Source organism: Homo sapiens, chromosome 14, assembly GCF_000001405.40.
Source record: "Homo sapiens chromosome 14, GRCh38.p14 Primary Assembly".
In the NCBI taxonomy this organism is placed as follows: Eukaryota; Metazoa; Chordata; class Mammalia; order Primates; family Hominidae; genus Homo; species Homo sapiens.
Window position 1 is genome coordinate 54,982,309 of NC_000014.9, and position 18,457 is coordinate 55,000,765.

Genomic DNA, 18,457 nt, shown 5'->3' on the forward strand with positions numbered 1-18,457 from the left:
GATAATAATTTTAAAGCCAATTTTAGTAAAAAATTAAACATGAATCAGAAGGCTCCCGCTTGAGAAACATTTAGAAAAATGACCAAAATCTGATACAAAGTGATCTTTACGAAATTTATCTTTAGTACTCTTCTTCCTCTCTCTTCTTTTTGTTGGCCTTGTCACTACTCTGTCCCCAACTACTAGGTAAGCAATTCTTACCTCGTAAAACAGGGAAGCATTCTTGTTTTCCACCTATTCTGCTTCCAACTCAGGAAATCTGTGGCAAATTACCTGATTATCCCTTTTCTTATCTGTGGCTTCACACCCCCCTCACTCTGCAAACATTAGTTTCCGCAGGGTCTGGATCTAATTGGTACTTCGGAGAAAAAAATCTATACAAATGGAAGTTATCAATGGTTCATATTATTAAAGCCTGAATGACTAATAGAAAACACATTTAGAAATGGTTGATATTTTAAAGACAAAGTGGAGTTTCCAGCAATGTAAATGAAGAACATGAATCTCCAAAAAGAGAAATATTTAAGTCCCCATGAGACAGAGATGACAGGTGATTTAAAATAAGGTACTCCTGGGCCAGGTGCAGTGGCTCACTCCTGTAATCCCAGCACTTTGAGAGGCTGAGGCAGGTGGATCACCTGATGCCAGGAGTTCAAAACCAGCCTAGCCAACATGACAAAACCCCATCTCTACTAAAAATACAACATTAGCCAGGCGTGGTGGTATGTGCCTGTAGTCCCAGATACTCGGGAGGCTGAGGTACGAGAATCACTTGAACCCAGAAGACAGAGGTTGTAGTGATCTGAGGTCACATCACTGCAGTCCAGCCTGGGTGACAGAGTGAGACTCTGCGTCAAAAAAACCACAAACACAAAAACAAATAAAATAAAATAAGGTACTCCTCAGTGTCTTTCAAATCATCTGTCATAAGCCTCTAGAATTTGGTCTAAAATAGCACTTATCCAAAAGAAATATCATGTGAGCCACAAGTGTAATTTTTAATTTCCTAGTGCCACATTAAAAAAAAAATGGCTACATACCATGTATCTGAACAACAAAAAAAAGTTAAGTGAAAAAATTTAGGCTGGGGGCGGTGGCTCACGCCTGTAATCCCAGCACTTCAGGAGGTCGAGGCGGGTGGATCACATGAGGTCAGGAGTTCAAGACCAGCCTGGCCAGCATGGTAAAACCCTGTCTCTATTAAAAATACAAAAATTAGCCGAGTGTGGTGACGCAAGCCTGTAATCCCAGCTACTCAGAAGGCTGAAGCAGGAGAATTGCTGGAACCCGGAAGGCAGAGGTTGCAGTAAGCTGAGATCGCATCATTGCACTCCAGCCTGGGCAACAGAGCAAGACTCCTAATTTATTCCTTAAAAAAAAAAAAATTTTAAATAGAGATGGGATCTCACTATGTTGCCCACTCTGGTCTTGAACTCCTGGGCTCAAGTGATCCTCCTGCCTCGGCCTCCCAGAGTGCTGGGATTATAGGCATGAGCCACCATGCCCAGCCAAAAAAAAAATTATTTTTAAAGAAAAAAAGGATGAAGTTAATGTTAATAATACATTTTATTTCATCGAAGATATCTCAAATATTATCATTTAACATGTAATCAACATAAAAAAATTGATTTTTATATCTTTTTTCATGCTAAGTCTTCAAAATCCAGAGTATTTTACACATACAAGCACATCTCAGCCATATTTCAAGTGCTCAACAGACACACATACTAGTTATTGTAGTAAACAGTGAAGCTCTAGAAAATTCTAAGTTTTCTGTATGATCTGCTGGAAAAGACACAACTTATTATTGATTTGTATCACCTCCTTGCTATTTAATACTTTCAGAAAAATATATTTCCTTCTTTATAAGTTTTCTAATGAGAATTCTCATGAAGAGAGCTCTTAGCCGGGTGCAGTGGCTCGCGCCTGTAATCCCAGCACTTTAGGAGGCCAAGGTGGGTGGATCACTTGCGCCTAGGAGTTTGAGACCAGCCTGGGCAACATGGCAAAACCCTGTCTCTACAAAAAATACAAAAATTAGCTAGGCATGGTGGCACATGCCTGTAGTCCCAGCTACTAAGGAGGCTGAGGTAGGAAGATGGCTTAAGCCCAGGAGGTGGAGGTTGCAGTGAGCCGAGATCATGCCACTGCACTCCAGCCTGGACAACAGAGCCAGACCCTGTCTTAAAAGAACATAAAAATAAAAACAAGATCTTATACATAAAACAATGGCTACCTTGCCTAAAGATTGCAGCTCCCAGTTCTGCCAACATATTAAAATAGAAATTTAAAATATAAAATAGAGATAATTTATTCTTAAATTAATTAGGAATAAAACAATGAAATAATTTTCTTCTTGAAGAATATCTAACACTTTATATTATACTTGTTTTTTTTAAACAAATTTATCTTGCCTTCAGCTGAAAACCCAATCCATGCAAGGTAGGATTTCCTTGTAAGAGGAAGAGGGTCACCATGCAAAATTTGTTTTTTCTTTTTCCCCAGCTCTAGCAGTTGAACTCCAAGGCACTGATCCCCATCAAATCCTGTACCTAATGAGAAAATGTAAATATAAATCAGGCATCAAAGGTTATCCAACTATAACGCAGTCTAAATTATTTTCTGTGAATTGATTTTGTGGTAAATTACTAGACTGACTAGCACTACTTTTTATGAATAACCCATCCAACTGAGGCATCATTCAGGTATTAGAAACACAGTAAGATGTTACATGGACTCTTCACATAAAGTCCTTATAAGTGGGCATTTATTCACTCAAGACATATTTACAGAGAGCTTACTACACGCCAGCATTGGCCTAGATACTGGGGCTACAGCAATAAACAAAGTCACCACTCTTATTAAATTCAAATTTCAGGTAGAAGACAAATTAAAAAACACAAAAAGAACAAAAAAATTATCACAAAGTTAAAATAATGTGATACAGAATGTCAGAGTGGTTTGTTAGACTGGTTAGTCAGAAGTGACCTCTCAGAAAGTAAAGTTTAAGCTGAGACATGAACTGCAAGCTGGAGCCTGCCATGCAAACATTAGGGGAAGGAACACGGAAGTGGATGGAGGGAACAGCTAATGCAAAGTCCTAAGGTAGGAAGAATGGAGGGCTCGAAGAACACAAAGAGGCAGTATGGCCAGAACATGGTAATGAGAAACAACGGTAAGAGATGAGGTTGGAGAGGCAGGCAAAGGTCAGATTATACGGGATCAGTAGATCACCTTGACAGCTATCAGAAGTTTGACTTTGATTCTAAAAGTGAAGGAAAGTCAGAGGGATTTGAGAAGAGGAGCATGATCTATATTTTTAAAAGATCACCTAGGCTGCTCTGTGGAGAATGGACTGTGGAAGGCAAGAACTGAAGCTAAAAGACTAGTTAGGAGGCTACTATGACAGTCCAAGAGATGACATCCAGGTTGTATTAGCAGAAGAAATGAAAAGAGACAAATTTAGAATGTGTTATTCCATAGAATTGACATGATGATATAATTTTACTGTTGGAGTTGATGCAGGGGAAATGGAAAGAGAAGAATCGAGGATAATTTTTAGATTTTTGGCTTCAGCCACTAGATTGTTAGTAAGCCATTTACTAAGATGGGGAAACTACATAAGAAGCAAGCTTGGAAGGAAAAAAATCAGTTTTTATTGTGAGCAAATTAAGTCTGAAATGTCTGTCCAAACTCTAAATAGATTTCAAGTAGGCAACTGGATGTGTAAGTCTGGAGACACAAGGAGAGGGTAGGGTTGGTGCTATCAACTTAAAAGTCATAGACACTGAGATGTATTTAAAGCCATGGATTATGATAAAATTCCCCAGGGTGGTTTCTCAAACTGCATATTTTGACCTAAGAGTCATGGAATCAATTTTAATTTGCAACTAGCATTTTAAAAAATGAAATAAAAAAATTTAAACTGATATCAAAAGAGTAAACATTGTCCAGGAGACTTTTATTTCAGTTACATTTGCAGATATTTATAGAACAGTTATATAGAATATATTTCTTTTCTTCTGTTTTTCTTTTAAAAATAGAAACAGGGGCTTGCTATTGCTATCCAGACTTGTATTGAACTCCTGGGCTAAAGCAACTCTCCCGCCTCGGCCTCCCAAAGTGCTGAGATTACAGGTGTGAGCCACCACACCACACCACACCATACCTGGTCCAGAATCTATGAATCTATTTCTTACTGTGGCAAAGCAGACAAAAAGACTGAAAGACCCTGACCTAGAGAGTAGTAGAGAAAAAGGGGATACACTCCAGCTAAAAGATAGAGCCAACAAAAAAGTAAAAAGGGAGCTGCCAGTGAGGAAAAATATTGAAAGTATGATGTCACAGAAGTCATGAGAAGAAGGTATTTTCAATGGAATTATTTTTTTAAAAAAGCACAGAGATTATCGGTTACCTTGATAAGACCAGTCTTAGCATAGTGACGGGGACTGAAGAAAGACATGAGGGGAGGAAAAAGGAGGCAGCAGCTTTTAAAAAGTGTCACATTCAGAGTTGTTTTGGCCCTTCCTACTAGGAGTTATTTTTGTGGAATTTCAACGCTGAAAGTTCTCTGGTCGTGCTTGCCAAAATGGTAAGATTTAGACATGGAAGTAATTAACCAAATTCCACCTTGGAATTCTCTCTATAATATAGTTCTATTAAGAAACATTTTCATTTTCATTGCTGCTAGTGAACACAACAAAATTATCTACATTTAAAGATTACACGGATTCAAAAGGAAGTATATAATCCAAGACAAAAAGAGTAACAAAAACAGCAAAAAAGCTCAAGTAATTTCCATTTTACTTCAAGTCATAAAAGACTGAAAAAAATCTACCTCTGTGATAAACAATGAAAAGCTGTTCTCCATGTCCTGCCATTGACACCACAGGTCCAGCAAGGCTGAATACCTCTTTTTGAACCCCTCCAATAGTAAACAATCGAAGAAGCAGGGCACTAGTAGCGGCAGCAGCCCATCCTTGACCGAGACATATGGCTTCAATATCCTCATTCTGAGGCAAGTCTATTATCCACTCTTTGCTTGAATCCCAAGAACTAAAGTGCAGGCAGTGAAGCTTGCTAAAAATTAAAACAAGACAGAAACAATCAAACTTTCATATGATATTTACATATATATATATATAAGCAATCATGATATTCAACAAAAAAACCAAATAGTTTACTTCCTATTATACACTAGTATAAGAAGTTGCTTTAAAAAAGTAATTATGAAATACCCTTAAAATGAACTATATTGATATCTTTCCAGCCTTTTTTCTTTGCACATACATATATGTAAGTTATTATTAAATACAAATTCTTTTTTTTTGAAATGGAGTTTTGCTCTGTCACCCAGGCTGGAGTACAGTGGTGTGATCTCTGCTCACTGCAACCTCCGCCTCCCAGGTTCAAGCAATTCTCCTGTCTCTTGCCTCAGCCTCCCGAGTAGCTGGGACTACAGGTGGGTGCCACTGCACCTGGTTAATTTTTGCATTTTTAGTAGAGATGCAGTTTCACCATGTTGGTCAGGCTGGTCTCAAACTCTTGAGCTCAGGTCATCTGTCCGCCTTGGCCTCCCAAAGTGCCGGGATTACAGGCGTGAGCCACCATGCCCAGCCTGAAGGATACAAATTTCAAATCACATAGAAGATAGTAAAATCCATGAAGTGTATCAGTACTATAATCAGCTGAAGAAGGGATCAAGAGAGGGCAATCTCTTGATTAACAAAAAGCTGAAAAAATATTTTCTTTTCTTTTGAAAAGAAAAACATTCTGCACCCATTGCTTTCCCATCATAATTTTTTTCTTGACATCTATCTACCTATTTACTTACCTACCTACTTATCAAAACATGTAAACATCCAAAAAATATTAAGTAGAAAAAGCAAACGGGTGACTAGTACATTTTTTGGTTTGTTTTTCCGTTTTTTTTTCCTTTCTCGAAGAGAGATTTTAAATTTAATCCATCATGACAAAAATGTAGATTAATAGTTGGCCAAGGCTCAGGTTGAATTAACTGCAAAGGGATATAAGAAAACATTCTTGGGTGATAAAGACGTAGTGACAAAAATCTAGACTAATAGTTGGCCAAGGCTAGGGTTGAACTAACTGCAAAGGGATATAAGAAAACATTTTCGGGTGATAAAGAACATTCTGTATTTTGATTGTGGTAGGGGTTATCTGTGTATATACACCTTTGTCAACTCATCAAATGGGTGCATTTTATTGTAAATAAATTACATCTCAATAAAGTAAATTAAAATAAGGGAGGTTCAAATAGAAAGAAATCTGGAAGGATACATATCAAATTGTAAATAGCAGTTATATCTGAGAGTAGAATTCTGGGAGGAGTTTTCATTTTCCGAAACTTCTATACTGTATACTGGTTTTTTTTCTTTACAATGAATGTATATTACTCTTATAATAGTAAAAAAAAAAAAAAGCACTTAACAATGTAAAAAAAAAATCCCATCTCTTGCATTACTAACTATGCCATGTCATTTTGCTATGTAGTTAGAGCATGTAATGAGGGAATCATTATGGCAAAAACAGACATATGTTCTGAGGTATTTTGGGTGTGCTGGTGTTTGTACCAAACTCTTCTGAAATTTCATATTACAAAAAATAAATTTTGTTTTATTAACTTTTTGTCTTTAATTTCAACAACTGTATCTAACAGTTCAACAGTGCCAAATTCTTCCTAATAATCTTGAGTTTACCTTGCTAGTTCATCAGTGCTTTCACATGCCAACAAAATAGCTTCGTGGGAAAGATCTGCTATTGTATAATTCAAAGTGTTTGATAAGTGTGTTGCATGGTGTATGGAGGTATCATGGAACTCCACATCTATGGCATTGTCTTGCTCATCATTATAGCAGCGAATAATTCCAATAGAGTTCCACACCTACAAACAGGTAAGATTAAATATAAGTCTGAGAAAAACTGAAGCTCCTAGAATCAGTAAGCCACAGTAGTACAAATTAACAAATATTATAATTAAATTTGTATTAAGATTTAGGTTTTGGGAGTTACTACATCTCATCTATCTCTAAATAGTTTCTGACAGGAGTCATAATACCAGAGCTACAATTACTTATTATTTCCTTGGTGAGAATAAGATACATATATACTTATTAATTAGCAAATAGAGTATTTAATAATATTTAAAAATAAATTACATGACTGTTACTTTAAAAGCACATTACAGTTGTCCTTTGAACAACCAAACCATTAAATTCCTCAAAAGAAATATTTCAAAAATTGAGTTTTCTTACAAATATGGATGCAAATAACAACAGACTTTTTTCCTAACTATTCTATGATAAAATAAATACATACATTTTAAGAAAACATAATTTTTTTTTTTTTTTGGAGACAGTTTTGCTCTGTCACCCAAGCTGGAGTGCAGTGGCATGATCTCGGCTCACCGCAACCTCTGCCTCCTGGATTCAAGTGATTCTCCTCCCTCAGCCTCCTGTGTAGCTGTGGTTACAGGTGCATGCCACCAGGTCCAGCTAATTTCTGTATTTTTTTAGTAGAGATAGGGTGTTTCACCATGTTGGCCAGGCTGGTCTCCAACTCCTATCCTCAAGTGACCAACCCACCTTGGCCTCCCAAAGTGCTGGGATTATAGGCGTGAGCCATCACGCCCGGCAGAGGCAACATAAATTGATACCACTTGGAAAACTTATCTTCCACTGATGTCCATTATAGGCTCACACTAGGCCCTAGAGTTTCTAATAAAATTAGTGCCAATATTTTATTTAACATAACTATAAATAAAATATTGACACTAATAAAAAAATTAAGACCTATGACTTGATGACTACTGATAGCAATAAAAAGTTTTATTAATATTAATCACCACCCTTAATCTTTACATAAAAATTTATGCCAGGCCTATACTCTTCAAATTTATGCCAGGCCTATACTTTTAAAAAGGCAAAATCCTCAGAATGGAAAACATCATATAACCAACACAGAAAAACTAAACTTTTTAAGAACTCAGGCCAGGCGCGGTGGCTCACGCCTGTAATCCCAGCACTTTGGGAGGCCTAGGCAGGCGGATCACGAGGTCAGGAGATCGAGACCATCCTGTCTAACATGGTGAAATCCCATCTCTACTAAAAATACAAAAATTAGCTGGGCATGGTGGCAGGCACCTGTAGTCCCAGCTACTCGGGAGGCTGAGGCAGGAGAATGGCGTGAACCTGGGAGGCGGAGCTTGCAGTGAGCAGAGATTGTGCCACTGCACTCCAGCCTGGGCAACAGAGCGAGACTCCATCTCAAAAAAAAAAAAAAAGAACTCAAATCTAAGGCAAAAAGCCAATATATTCATTTTGTCTATTCATGAAATATATATTTAATGTGCACTGTATCATACCTTGTTCCAAATCCTAAGAACATATCAGTAAACAAAACAAAAATCTTTATCCTCGTGTAGCTTACATTCTGGTGGGTGGTGGAGTGAGGAAAAGGGTCAGACTTTTCCCCCCATAGTACTTGCCACCTTCTAATATATTATACTAGTAGTTGCCTTCTAAGAAAGCACCTCCTTACTAGTGTTTTGGAGTCAGTATAATCTTCTATGTAACAATGACCATGAAGAATAAGGTTTGAAAGTATTGCCAAGAAATATTGCAAGATAGTAATATTTACTTATGTTCATTTAATGTCATTTTGGAAAGCAGAATTTTATTTAACATCATTTTCAATAAGGTTGAAACAAGATTAAAACTGTGAGCTAACCATAAAATAAACCAACCACAAAACTGTAATCAACCAAAGTGCTCCAGGCTACTTAATCAAAGTTTTTAAAAATATGTTTTATCCAAAAAAATTAACTATAGTAAGAAAAAAGTGCTGAAAACCTACTAAGAAGTTAAGTGTAGATCCAAGTCTTACCATGAATCTGTGAGTGAGATGCAACGGTGTAGAACCTGACTGAAATGGCTTTTGCCGGGGAGTTGGCATGGGTCCATCATAAAATGGCCTTTGGGATGTTACAAGTGGTAGATTGTGAATGCTGCCTTCTTGACCATCTTCCTCCTCCTCTTTGAGAAGACTAGAACCAGTTTTTAGCATTGAAATATCTACAACACAAAGGATCATAATTAAGGGAATCACGAATACCAATGATTTGGAAAAAGGAAAGCATTATGGAATCTAGTAACTTTTTCATTCATATTCAATGACACTGACATGCTATTTGCCTCTTTCACTGTGTTAAAGAGATGCAGTGATGGTGCAAAAGCAATGGTGGGTAAAATTCCTGGTGCCTTGGCACCAATCAAGGCAGTGGCACCTAACTGTATTAGTCGTTACTGCATTGTTAACCACTACTCACTTGCAGTAAAAATATTAATTTTATTAAATCTTGACGCTTACACAGATTTTTTTTTTAAAGTTCTGTGTGCTAAAATGAGAAGTGTGATGGTTGTCTTGAAAAAAAGCACTTATGCAATTGTTTGAGTTGTAAGCTGAACTAAGTGATTTTTTTTCATACAACACTACTTTTACTTAAAAAACACATGCCAGATAAACTACGGTTATGCAGAATTGGATCTTTGGCAAACATTTTCTTGTAAATGAATGAAGTGAGCCTATCAATTAAGAAAAAATAACTGGCAGAATTTGTTGCCAATGATAACATTTGAGCTTTCAGGCCAGGCACGGTGGCTCACACCTGTAATCCCAGCACTTTGCAAGGCCGAGGCAGGCAGATCACTTAAGGTCGGGAGTTCCACGTTGACCAGCCTGGCCAACATGGTGAAACCCTGTCTCTACTGAAAATACAAAAATTAGCCAGGCATGGTGGCACATGCCTGTAATCCCATCTACTCGGGAGGCTGAGACAGGAGAATCGCTTGAACCCGGGAGACTCCGTCTCAAAAAAAAAAGAGCTGGGCACAGTGGCTCAGGCCTGTAATCCCAGCACTTTGGGAGGCCAAGGTGGGTAGATCATTTGAGGTCAGGAGTCCGAGACCAGATTGACCTACATAGTGAAACCCCGTCTCTACTAAAATACAAAAATTAGCCTGGCATGGTGGCGGGCACCTATAATCCCAGCTACTCAGGAGGCTGAGGCAGGAGAATCACTTGTACCCAGAGGGCAGAGGTTGCAGTGAACCGAGATCGTGCCACTGCACTCTAGGCTGGGTGACAGAGCAAGACTCCCTCTCAAAAAATAAAAACAAGAAATTTGAGCTTTCAATTAAAAATTAAGATATTGGAAAGCTTCTATTTGCCATTATGAGCTTCACAACTTTCTAATACTTAGAAACTACTGATGAGATTGGTAACAACACTAGCAGATATAATTTACAGCCAGGTGCTGTGACTCACGCTTGTAATTGCAGCACTTTGGGAGGCTGGGGAGGGAATATCACTTGAGGCCAGGATTTCAAGACCAGCCTGGGCAACAAAGCAAGATTCCATCTCTACAAAAAATAAAAAATTAGATGGGCATGGTGGCATGCATCTGTAGTCCTAGCTACCCGGAAGGCTGAGTGGGAGAACTGCTTAAGCCCAGGAGTTCAAGGTTACAGTGAGGTGTGATGATACCACTGCACTCCAGCCTAGGTGACAGAGCAAGATGCTATCTCTAAAAACAAAAATTAATTAATTAAAAACAACATATAATTAATTAAAAACAAAAACAAATAATTTATATTAGATAATAAAAAGTGTCAGTATAAAGAGGATCTATAAACTTCAGTGAACCAATATTATCAATTCATATGTTACAAAATTAAACATGATTTTAAAAAATCCATTCAACATTCAAGTCAGACCAATGAATTTTTTGATTTTATTTTGTTTTTTTCTGAGACAGGGTCTCGTTCTGTTACCCTGCCTGGAGCCCACTGTTGCAATCATGGCTCACTGCAGCCTCGACCTCTCGGGCTCAAGAGATCCTCCTACCTCAGCCTCCCAAGTAGGTGGGATTACAGGCACACGTCACCACACCTGGCTAATTTTTAAAGTTTTTTTGTAGAGAGGAGGTCTCACTATGTTGCCCTGGCTGGTCTTGAACTCCTGGCCTCAAGCAATCCTCCTGCCTGGGCCTCCCAAAGTGCTGGGATTACAGGTGAGAGCCACCATTCCCAGCCAGACCAATGAATCTTAACATAACAGAGCCGTAAGAGTTCACTGAAGTTTTCAGATTACACTTTGCAAGTAATCTTTAGGAAACGATCATCTTCTGAGTCTTGGTGCAACATCAAAGAATATCCACAATTAATTGAATGTGCTATTAAAAGATTTCTTAAAATACTTCTCCCTTTTCAAATTACATATTTATGTGAGGCCAAATTTTCTTTATACACTTCAAACAAAAACAATGTATAGCAATAGACTTAATCCAGAAAAGTAGATGAGAGAATCCAGCTATCCTCTATGATAGACATTACAAAGATTGCAATGCCACTCTTCTCACTAATTTTTTTTGTTTTTCATAAAAAAGTACTATTCATGTTTACATGAGTTTATTAATGTTATTTTTAAGTGAATAAATATTTTTAAATTTCTGAATTTTAATTTCTAATATGTAAATGACGATAGCCGTAACTCTGTATAAATAAATGCTCTCGGAAGGGTCCTCAAAATTTTTTAGAGTATAAAGGCTACTGAGACCAAAACATTTGAGGACTGCTGTTCTATAAACTCTATATGACTTTAAAAAGCACAACATAGCACTGCACATTGGCATTTTACTTGATAATGTTCAAGTGTTATTGTAGCATGTAAGTTGTTACAATAAGCACTCTATTTGAAGATTTTCAATTACAATCTCAATTTCTTCATTTTACTTGATAATGTTCAAGTGTTATTGTAGCATGTAAGTTGTTACAATAAGCACTCTATTTGAAGATTTTAAATTACAATCTCAATTTCTTTAATAGATACAATACTATTCAGGTTATCTATTACTTCTTGAGTTAGCAGTGGTACTTTGTGTCTTTCAGAAAATTCGTCTATTTCATTTAAGTTGTTAAATTTATGGGCACAAAGTTATTCATAATATTGCCATTATGCCTTTGATATTAATAGTAGCACTGCCATACAGACATATAATGTGAGTTACAGCTGTAATTTTAAATTTTCTAATATTTCTAAAGTTTAAAGAGTAAAAAGAAACAGCCATAATCTTAATAATATAGTGCATTTAAAATACATATTATCATTTCAACATGTACTCAATATAAAAAATTTCCCAAGATTTTTACATTCTTTTTTTCATATTGTCTTCAAAATCTGGTTGCACTCCATGGTGAAACCCCATCTCTACTAAAAATACAAAAATTAGCCAGGCGTGGTGGCGCATGCCTGTAATCCCAGCTACTCAGGAGGCTGAGGCACAAGAATCACTTGAATCCAGGAGGCGGAGGTTGCAGTGAGCCAAAATCACACCACCGCACTCCAGCCTGGGTGACAGAGTGAGACTCCGCCTCAAAAAAAAAAAAAAAATCCGGTTGCACTCATAACATATCTCAGTTTGAACTAACCACATTTCAAGTGCTCAACAGCTACATGTGGCTAGTGGCTACTATATATTGGATAGCACAAATCTACAGATCTATAGTGATGGCCCACCTCTCTTTCATTCTCTATGTTAGTAATTTGTGTCTTCTCTTTATTGATCAACCACGATAGATATTTATTAATTTTATTGATCTTTTCTTTTCTTTGGAGATGGAGTCTTGCTCTGTTGCCCATGCTGGCATGCAGTTGACGCGATCTCGGCTCACTGCAACCTCCACCTCCTGGGTTCAAGTGAGTTTCCTGCCTCAGTCTCCTGAGTAGCTGGGATTACAGGCACGTGCCACCACACCCAGCTAATTTTTGTATTTTTGTAGAGACAGGGTTTTACCATGTTGGCCAGGCTGGTCTTGAACTCCTGACCTCAAGTGATCTGCCCATTTCAGCCTCCCAAAGTGCTGGGATTATAGACGTGAGCCACCGTGCCCGGCCTTATTGATCTTGTCAAAGAACCAGCTTTTGGTCTCATTGACTTTCTCTATAGGTTTTCTGTTGTCAATTTTATTGAATTTTGCTCTGTATTATTTCCTTCCATTTGCTTGGGGTTTAGTTTTCTCTTTTTCTAGTCTGCCATAGCAGAAGCTTGGATTATAGATTTGAAACCTTTTTTAACAAAGTCATTTAATGCTATAAAATTTCCTCTAAGCACCACTTAGCTACATTCTACAAATTCAATAATGACTTTAATAGTGTTAATAAAAAATCTAAAATATTAATCAACAGGGTAATCACATGCACAAAGTCAAATTCTTACCAACTGAGTTTTCATCATCTTCTAGGATGTGACTTCGCTGTCTAGGACGACCTGAAGCCATCATGAGGTCTTCATCATCCTCATCATCATTTATAATCCCTTTTGAAAAAGAAGGGATCTCAACTGCATTGTCATTTAGAAAATCACCAGCATTACTCATATCATCTCCATCAAAAAGATCATTATAATCCTTTTCCACTCTGCTAGATACCTTGAACAAATTAATACAAATTATAAAGTAAAAGTGAATGATTTAGAAAAACTCAATTACTAAAAAGGTAAACTTTTAATATGCACCTATAAATTCTACCAAGCAGCAAACTCACTGAACAGATAAGAATAATTAGTAAATGTATTTATGAGAATTGTATTTATATTTACACAATAAGACCCAGTCCTTATTTCAAATGCCTTGTAGTCTGGGGATGGGATGGGAGTATAGGGACTGACATGTAAACAAATACTGTATATGCCAAAATATAAAATAAGATTTTATTCCTCAGAAGTCATTCCCTAGAAAAGAAGTGATATTAATATGATAAAGTCCCTATAAAGTCTGTCATATTGTAAGACAGTCTCTCATTTACTTTTATTTTGAACAAAATACTGCATAAGATACATTTTCTTTATATTATCTCAGTTAAAGTTAGTGTTTTGATACTTATAAAAATAAAGTGATAGAACCAATAGAAAAACAAAGAAGGCAAAGAAATTCTACATAAAGCCCCAGCATGGTGGCTCACACCTGTAATCTCAGCACTTTGGGAAGCCGAAGCAGGTGGATGCCTTGAGCTCAGGAGTTCGAGACCAGCCTGGACAACATGATGAAACCTCATCTCCACAAAAAATTAGCCAGGCATGGTGGCATGTGTCTATAGTCCCAGCTACCTGCGAGGCTGAGGTAGGAGGGTCACCTGAACCTGGAAGGTCAGGGCTGCAGTGAGCCATGATCTCACCACTGCACTCCAGCCTGGGTGACAGAGTGAGACCCTGTCTCAAAATAAATAAATTTTTAGATCATTTCAAAAAGTGAAATGGTAAGCAGATACACTGCAAAGATCCCAAGTTACTCCTATAGGATGCATAAAAACTACAAATGTTAAGCCAATGGAAATTTATAGTTTGGTATAAGTCTAATGAGAACACCATTAACAGATTAAAAAGTATTACATCATAAACTTTTTATTTTCATTTATTTATTTTTTGACAGAGTGGAGTCTCGCTCTGTCGCCAGGCTGGAGTGCAGTGGCGTGATCTCGGCTCACTGCAACCTCCGCCTCCCGGGTTCAAGCGATTCTCCTGCCTCAGTCTCCCAAGTAGCTGGGACTACAGGCGCATGCCACCATGCCCAGCTAATTTTTGTATTTTTAGTAGAGATGGGGTTTCACCATGTTGGCCAGGATGGTCTTGATCTCTTGACCTCGTGATCCACCCGCCTCAGACTCCCAAAGTGCTGGGATTACAGGCGTGAGCCACAGCGCCCAGCCTTTTTTTTTTTTTTTTTTTTTTTTGACACAGAGTCTCACCCTGTCACCCAGGCTGGAGTGCAGTGGCGTGATCTTGGCTCACTGCAAACTTCATCTCCCAGGCTCAAGTGATTTTCCTGCCTCAGCTTCCTGAGTACCTGGGTTTACAGGCCTACACAACCACACCTGGCTAATTTTTGTATTTTCAGTAGAGACGGGGTTTCCCCATGTTGGCCAGGCTATTCTTGAACTCCTGACCTCAGGTGATAAACCCACCTCGGCCTCCAAAAGTTCTGGGATTGTAGGCGTTAGCCACCGTACCCAGACCCTCATAAACCTTTTAAATGGAAGTAAACATAACTGTGCTCTGAAAACTGATGTTTAATAAAATGAGATGAAAAAGTGTTTCTAAATCCATACATTGAAAAATACTTGATATGAGTAAATTAATAACTAAGTGCTATAAGAAGATATTCAACCATTCCATTTATAGTCCTAAAAGTTTGTGTACTCAAGCTGACAAAAAATTGTTTTTGGATTTTCTAATTAAAAAAAATGGGGAGGCCGGGCATGGTGTCTCATGCCTGTAATCCCAGCACTTTGGGAGGCCGAGGTGGGCAGATCACGAGGTCAGGAGATCGAGACCATCCTGGCTAACACAGTGAAACCCCGTCTCTACTAAAAATGCAAAAATTAGCCAGGCGTGGGGGCACAAGCCTGTAATCCCAGCTACTCAGGAGGCTGAGGCAGGAGAATCACTTGAACCCGGGAAGCAGAGGTTGCAGTGAGCCGAGATCGCGCCATTGCACTCCAGCTTGGGCAACAAGAGCGGAACTCCGTCTCAAAAAAAAAAAATGGGGAGGCCAGGCACGGTGGCCCATGTCTGTAACCCTAGCACTTTGGGGGGCTGCGGTGGGTGGATCACCTGAGGTCAGGAATTCAAGACCAGCCTGGCTAACATGGTGAAACCCTGTCTCTACTAAAAATACAAAAAATTAGCAGGGCGTGGTGGTGGGTGCCTGTTATCCTAGGTACTTGGGAGGCTGAGGCAGGAGAATCGCTTCAACCCAGGAGGCGGAGGTTGCAGGGAGCCACCATTGCACTCCAGCCTGGGCAACAGAAGGAGACTTTGCCTCAAAGAAAAAAAAAAATTTTTAATGGAGGACTGTGCCTCATATTTATGATGAAGGCGATAAAATGTTCACAGATGTGAAATTAGCCCAGCTAATTTTTGTATTTTTAGTAGAGACGGGGTTTCGTCATGTTGGCCAGGCTGGTCTTGAACTCCTGACCTCAGGTGATCCACCGGCCTCGGCCTCCCAAAGTGCTGGGATTACAGCCGTGAGCCACCGTGCCCAGCCAAAATTTTTTTTCTTAATTCACTTTTTGTTTTTACCAATGTTACACATGCATATATATTAGTTAGGCAGTTTTACAAGGCGTGCTATGAAAACAGTCCTCTCCACAGCCCCAATTTACTTCTCTACAGAATAAATCCTTCCAGCTCTTTTAGTTGTTTCTTTGCTACTTCTTCCATACCTGTAAATCATATTCTAGTAGAATTTTTTTTTTTCACTTTTAATCATTGTGTTTAACAGATCCTATTAACTTCCATCTATGGCAGATGAGGATCTGGTACCCTTTCACAACCACCCCAACCGCCATGCTTGCATGTACACTACTCTCCGACCCCAATTCTCCCAATATAGATAGATATATCCTCCTTGTGGTTCAATCAATATACAGTATTTAGGTTATTAAGATCATGTAAATGCTATTCATGGCTGAATAATAAAAATAATAGCCAACACTTATAAAGTATGCCAAACTTATGAAGTGTGCTAGACACTGTTCTAACTATACATAATTCACTTAATCCTCCCAATAACCCCAAGTGGTTGGCATTATTCCTATCTTTTTACACATACAGTATATTATGATCACTGTTCCTTTCTTTTACAACTTTTTGTCTTCCCTGGAGTTAAGAAACTCTCTCTTTACGTCTTTTCTCTTAGACAAATTCCCCAAAGATGATTTTTCCAATCTCCTGCCTGAAATGCATAAGAATGGCTGACAATGTTCTGGGAACCTACTAGAAGTGAGATGATCATTTCAACATTCAAGTATCTAATCTTTCATTTAATCCTCTGTTTTCAGTACAGTATTTCCCCCTTACCCAAGACCACTCAACTGTAACCAGTGTCCCTAGACCAAGGACAGTCTATTTCATCTTTTCTAAAAAAACAAATCTCCAACATTCTGCCAGAATGCATGTGAAGATGGGGGAGGGCAGGTACCCAGCTTTGAACACAGATGTTGAGACTAGAACACTCTATGTGCTTATTAAATCACCTCTCCTGTTTTCAGCCCCACTTCTAGAAGCACCTAGTGCTACCAAATTCTGAATCTCTGGGGATTCAGTGAGGCAAACTGAGTAGCACCTCAACTTCCAGAAACTACAGTTTTAGAATTCAACTTTTTGAGAAGCTGAAGTGAGTTTCTCATCATCCTTCTATTTTCTAGCCTCCACTTTTTTATTTTTATTTTTTAGATGGGGTATCACTGTCATCCAGGCTGGAGTGCAGTGGCACAATCACGGCTTGCTGTAGCCTCAACCTCCTGGGCTCTAGTGATCCTCCCACCTCAGCCTTCTGAGTAGGAGCATGAAACTACAGGCACACACCACCACACTTGCCTAATTTTTATTTTTTAATTTTTTGTAGAGATGGGGTCCCACCATGTTGCCCAGGCTGATCTCAAACTCCTGGGCTCAAGCAATCCTCCCAAAGTGTTGGGATTACAGGTGTGAGTCACTGCAGCAGAGCTCAAAATTATTTTTATAATCATCCCTTCAACTGACTTCTTTAACCTTATGGGATTATGCATTTAAGAAAATGCCTTTAGTATAGTTTTTGTGGGGGTTTCAGGAGGGACAGCTATAAATGCATGTATTAAGTCTGCAATCTGTAACCAGAAGTCTAAACTAAGACTTGAATATAAATAGGTACATCTGCCAGGCAGGGTGAATAATGAACAAAAGCAAGAAGGTATAAAACAAGGTGCCTGTTTAAAGTTGCTCAGTAAAGCTGTTTGACTAAGCAGAGGAGGTGTATAGGTAGTTCTAAGAGTTAAGGCTAATTCAGAGTAGAAACAGTTTGCAGGCCAAACTGAGACCTGATACAAAATAGTATTTAATGAAAGGTATTCCTTGGAAAGGCATTATATGGAGAGAAAAAAGTTTCTTAGTAAAATACACTTGGGAGACATCAGGTTGAACAAGTAAGAAGTTTTCTTACTATAGATTACTACTCAGCATCTACTATAGTAACATGAAAGGTAATTTTCCAAGAAAGTAAGGCAGTTTGTGGTGTCTTCCAAATCCATATGATCACAGAAACATTTTGAAGAAACTGTTGTACCATACTCCCTTTTACCTTACTGCTTGATGTCTTTCCACTGGGGTCACAAACATTCTCTAGAAGCCCTAGATTTCCTTCCGCATCAGTATACGATATTCGACCACAAGTAGGATGCCATGCCAGACCACAAATTGCATAACCTTTCTCATGTTTCACCCTAAAAATTAAAAAGTAGGTTCTAAAAATACTGTCAAGAAAAATATAAATTGTACATTTCTTTAGGTAAATTTTAGTTAGGAAAGAATAAATGACTTTTGACAATAATTTATAAATAATAT

The 18,457-nt window shown here is 38.2% G+C and overlaps 1 protein-coding gene across 4 annotated transcripts in view; it reads right to left on the reverse strand.

The window, feature by feature from the left end:
- Positions 1-18,457, reverse strand: part of WDHD1 (WD repeat and HMG-box DNA binding protein 1) — an 88,151-nt gene that overhangs the window by 43,360 nt on the left and 26,334 nt on the right. For 3 of the 4 annotated variants that reach the window (NM_001008396.3, XM_006720012.2, NM_007086.4), the window contains 6 exons: positions 18,195-18,336; positions 13,295-13,505; positions 8,905-9,092; positions 6,720-6,904; positions 4,838-5,079; positions 2,415-2,552 (listed from right to left, as the gene is read on the reverse strand). In NM_001008396.3, the coding sequence (NP_001008397.1) occupies positions 2,415-2,552; positions 4,838-5,079; positions 6,720-6,904; positions 8,905-9,092; positions 13,295-13,505; positions 18,195-18,336 (1,106 nt within the window). Of the gene's footprint in view, positions 1-2,414; positions 2,553-4,837; positions 5,080-6,719; positions 6,905-8,904; positions 9,093-13,294; positions 13,506-18,194; positions 18,337-18,457 lie in introns of those variants that run through there. The other variant, XM_011536373.3, reaches the window with a different exon arrangement.